This window comes from Homo sapiens, chromosome 2 (assembly GCF_000001405.40).
Source record: "Homo sapiens chromosome 2, GRCh38.p14 Primary Assembly".
Classification (NCBI taxonomy): domain Eukaryota; kingdom Metazoa; phylum Chordata; class Mammalia; order Primates; family Hominidae; genus Homo; species Homo sapiens.
This window is the reverse complement of record NC_000002.12, coordinates 17,423,116-17,428,578: the sequence shown is the minus strand read 5'-3', so window position 1 is coordinate 17,428,578 and position 5,463 is coordinate 17,423,116.

Sequence of the window (5,463 nt, the reverse complement as noted above, 5' to 3'; positions counted from 1 at the left end):
TGATATAAGGGTTGAATTTCTATTTTTAGGACTGAGTTAGGATTTTCAGATTTCTAAAGAGTCTCATGTCTCTATAAGAAGCTTCCTTTTGGTTGTCATGTTGGGTCTAAGACTCAGGTGAATAAAACAAATCATTGGTCCTGGTGTCTAGGGAGAAAACAGCAAATTAATAGGAAGAAATGTTATTGTAGAAGGCTTAAATTTAACACAGTAGGTTTTGATACTTAACTATACTAAAATTCAGCAGGATGTGACAAGGCCCTTCCAGTGAGGTTCAAGTGATGTCTTGCTTTACTCAACTCCAAGTGAACTCAATCATGTCTTGATGTCACAGTACTGTTTTTTTCAGCGCTACTGGTAGAGCTTCTAGTACTTGAGAGTGGAATATGTTCACACAATTTATTAGTATTTTGTAATAATAAAGCACAACATTATTTAGTGTTTAAGTGTTCTAGTGAGTGGTCCCTGGGAAAGTAATCAGAAGTATCATAGATCATCCATTAATGTAGTATGTGGAAAGTTCCCAGTGTTCTGTTAACTATATAGTTCTCTAGTTCTTAAGAGCTTTGATCACTTCAGTTCTGTTTCTTCACAGACTTTTATCAGATTATAGTTTTGGAACTCATGTTAATGTTCTGCTATCCACTGATATAGCCAATGAAGTCACTGATGAATGTGTAGGGCTTTACACACTTGCTTTGCAATCTGTTTTAAGTTGTATGCCCCAATAACTCCTTATAACAAGTATTTCAATCATGGCAATACAGTCATTTAAAAGTTTATTGCTAGTCATTATTTTTCACATCCTGAAAATGAGCAACAACTGCTAAATTACATTCATATGAGCATTTAAAAATACAAAGAAAATTGGTGGCCCCAAGAAGGATAAGCTGCCCTCTTTGTTTTTAGAGCTTTTTTATATCGAAGACTGAAAATAGAGCAGGTTTTATAATTTTGTTGAGCAATGCCAAAAACATTTGGAGCATACTAATCATGCTAAATATTCTTAGCATTCCTTTGTGTTTTTATGCCTGTGCCATGAATTACAGGAAAAAGATGAGGGAGAAAGTTCTTGTGTTTCTAAGTGGCTATCTGAGAAGTGTCAAAGATAATCTATATGTAAAATATTCCAAGCATTGCTTCTAAAAATCAATATCCTAAAGATTGTCTTTATCTCTAAATCAATCTATCATCTATATATAATGTTGATTTCCCTCTTTTTCTCTCCCTTTATATATGCATAAATATATATAAAATGAATATATGTGTATATATAAATGAATATATGTGTATCCATATGTATATTCAAAATAGTGCTGTGCTATTCCAAATAGGTTCTGATTTTGAAAGGTAACATCCAAATGGGTTGACAAAGTAGAATTGTTAGTTGCTAAAGATAAGTATAAAAGTTCCTGAGAATGAAAAATAGTTGGAGCTATTCAGAGGAGCCATGTTTTCTCACAGCCAAGCAGAAGCAAGGATTCCTTTCTGAAGCTAGTAAAGCTGAAGCATCAGGCTCTCGACCTTATCCCTGAGAGGAAAGCAACATAAAACTATGCTATTTTAGCTCTGCTAGAAGCAAGCAGTCCTCATTGTTTTTACAATTGGTCATTGTCATGAAGTATCATCAATGCACACTAAGGGCCAATGTGAATATTAACAGAGCTTTGAGAGTTTAGAGACAAGCTCTGGAAAGAATAACAGGTTCTGCCACCTGGCAACATGCACAGACAGCAAAGAGGAACTTTTATTAACTCATTCATTAACATTTACTAACTTATAGCCAGAGAACAATTTTTTTCCCCTTGAGAGCTACTGATTTTCTTTCTTACACAAAACATTTTAAATTAACTTTAATGTAATTTGAATTATACACACATATACAATATAGTAAGATGAAACTATTTTTAAATGATACTTTTTAATTTTTAACACAATTAATTTATCAAGCACCTTACAAGAAAACATTTATAATGCCTTGATTTCATTAGCTTGATTTGAATGTTATAAGAAATGAACATCTTTGTACATTAAAAATAATACACATAGGAATTACATGGTGGTTATTAATACCACTTTTTCCCCCTCATGTTTACTGTTTTAATTACTTTCTTCCTTGTGTTCTTTTAGTTTATTTTTGTTTTTTCCTTGGTTTTCATTCTGGCATTCATTTTTATTTTAAATTATTGCAAACATATACAGAAATTACTTGATAAGCACTAATCACATAGCTATGGAAATTAAAATATAGCATGCTTGGTATTTAAAATCTGAACTTTTATGTTACATTTTAACTGCCAATTCTGTCAGCACAGTTATTGATCTATGTATTGGCAATATTACTGTCTTTCTATCAGAATGAGTGTTAGAATTAAGTCCTATTTTTCTATTTATTAGTATCTAATATCTGTGTACATTAATTTTGAATACTACTATAGATACAAGTTCTCACAAAATAATAACATATAAAAATTTGTGCTCTTATTTATTAATCTTAAAGTAAAATTAAACTCTTCAAATTGTTAATAAATCATTAAAACATTTAAAAAATTAAGGTGAAGAATCCTAGATTTACAATTAAAAGTATATTCCTAAAGACATGATAAATCATGTCTCTTTATTATTGTTTTGTCATTATAGTAAATATTTTATTTTCCAGTTTTTATTTACTGATGAAACAGTATAATTGAGTGTTCATTTCTTATAAATCACTACATTTTTTATCCATGAGAGTGATAAGACTACTCAATGACTAGAAAATATCATTAATTCTTATATCTGAAAAACATCTCAAATATTACCTAAGGTTCAACCCTCTTATTTTAGGACTAAGACATTGAATTGAATGTTAATTTGTCTAAAGTCATCACAGAGCAAATTAATGACGAGGCAAGATTGGAAAGTGCAGCTTCTGGCACATCTGATCAACCCCACACTAGGGGTAGAAGTCAGAAAGCCTCCCTAATAGGCGAAATGGGACCTAGCTTATGAATGTTCAGATCAGGGCTCAGGACATTGGGCTGCCAGAGCACTGCCAGTCCCAGACACAAGACAAGGAATTAGGAAATTTATAAGAAGACCATCCAACGAAGGGGTGACATGCACAGGTCTGGGGTCAAGGCAAGGGCTCTGCTTGCCTGAATCTGAGAATACTATTGCTACCAGGGCACTTGGAGAGTTATCCATTTAAGCAAATCAAAGGAGGGAACAACTTGCTTTGTCTGGCAAAGGAGTAGAAAGGCTTCATGGAAGGTGTACAATTTGAGTAGGGTTTTCAGACATGAGTAGGGCTTTTGGAGCTTTCCAGTCAGAAGGGCTACATGTGCAAATTCTGGTTGTGTGAATGGACTTAGATTTGAGAAATAGTAAAAGTTAAATGTGGCAGGAATGTGGAGTGAGTCAGGGAGGGGTAGATGAAGACAGATGGGTGGGTGCTGAAGGGCTTCATATGCCAAGTTACATGACTGGGGGATGATGGGTAACACCATTCCTAGGAACAGGAGAGTTTGTGATAGAAACTATAAGCTAGAATGAAGGGTGTTGAGGGCATATGGTGGGGATGAGGTTGGAACAGTGGTAGGGTCCTGCTCTGAAATAGAAGGATCTGGTTTCTTATAGTAAAACAATTCTCATCATACTACATGTACTTAAAGGTCACCTTGAATGTGGAATAAACAAAATTTTGCATTTTGATTGAATTAGAAATAGCCAGAGTCAACTTCATTTGACTATTAGTCTGCTGAATTGTTTTTTTCTACCCAGAAAAGGAGAGGAAAAAATAGTGAGATAATTGACAAAGTAAATAACCAGCATATTTCATAAACTAGCAGTACTTCTTACAATAAACATGATTTATGACTCATACAATGCTCTAAAACATATTTATAAATTTTGAATTATAGCACAAGCTTTGGTGTTAAAGGTTTACATGCAAGATGGGGTAAAGACAGGTTGTTTTGTGTAAAAACAATTTGATATCAAGGGAGTCAGATTTTATTCTGATCATTAGTAAAACACAACAGAAAATATCTATAACTTAGGATAGATATGTTTGAATTTAATCTCACTCCAAACATTTGCCACAATTAAAGTTTCTTTTTGTTTACATCATTGGATTTTATTTATTCTGTATCAGACAGCTTATCAATTTTCAGCATAGTACTTGAATTAACAAATAATTATTAGCTCCAAGGAGAATATTTCTTCTCTGAGCAAACTTCTGGACTATTTTTTACTTTTAATCATGACTGCGGATGGTGAGACATATTATATGTAAATTATAAAGCATACACAATGTAAATTATAAAGCATAACAATAGCACAATTACCTAAAGCCATTCTCCCAGTGGGTGAAGGAGCCATTACTGATACAGTGTGAGGCTATTTGTGTATTTGTTCCCAATCACATCACCTTTCTCTTTACCTGAATAGTCAGTCACTACCCTAAATTTTTGTTTATCATTCTTATGTTTTAAAATAATCTATCATGTAACTATCCATAAGTAATTATTTAGTTTTGTTTTCAAATTTCATAAAAATATTAGCTTATTTTTCATATCACTTCTTTGTATCCAATATGATGATGTGTACAGCCATAGTTAATTCATTTTCACTGCTGTAAAGTATTCCCAGGCATGAATACAGATTATTATCTGTTCTTTATCCAGTGGAAATTTAAATTCAGTTAAATTTTCTGCTATTATACACAATGAAACCATGAAAATTCTAGTATGTCTCTTGAAGCACAAATACAGCATTGTCTCTAGGATATATCTAAAAATAGAATTACTGGGTTGTACAGTATGTGTATCTGTGGCTCTATCAGATAGTGCCAAATTGTTTTTCGAAGTAATTGCAAGAACCAATTTATATTCCCTACCAATAGTGTTCCTATTGCTTCACATCCCTACTAACACTTGCTATTGTCAAACTCTTTTCTTTTTGCCAGTTGGTAGATGTGTAATATCTTCTTATGTCTTTAATTTTTATTTCTTTACTTAAACTTTTTAAATTAAATTTATTTAGTTTAATGAAACTAAATAACTTTTAATTATTTATTGACCATTCGTGTTTCCACTTATGAAATACCTATTCAAATATATATACATATGCATGTGAATGTATATTAATGGTGTATATGCAAGCCATTTTTTCTATCAGGTTATTTACTTTTTTCTTATCTGTTTATAGTATTTATTTAAAAAGTACCCTCATAATATTAAGCCTTTATTAATTATATATATTATAAACATATTCTCATATTTTGTCTTTAGAATTTTCATTTTTTATGGTATTTTTTGATAAATATAAGTTATTATTTATATTTTCATTGATTCACTGATTCATAGATACATTCAACAAATGTTTATTGAATATTGGAGTATTTTGGAAAATAAAACAAATACCTGCCCTTATTAATTTTCTCAGGGGAATATAGACAATCAAGAGTATGTTTGAAGATAT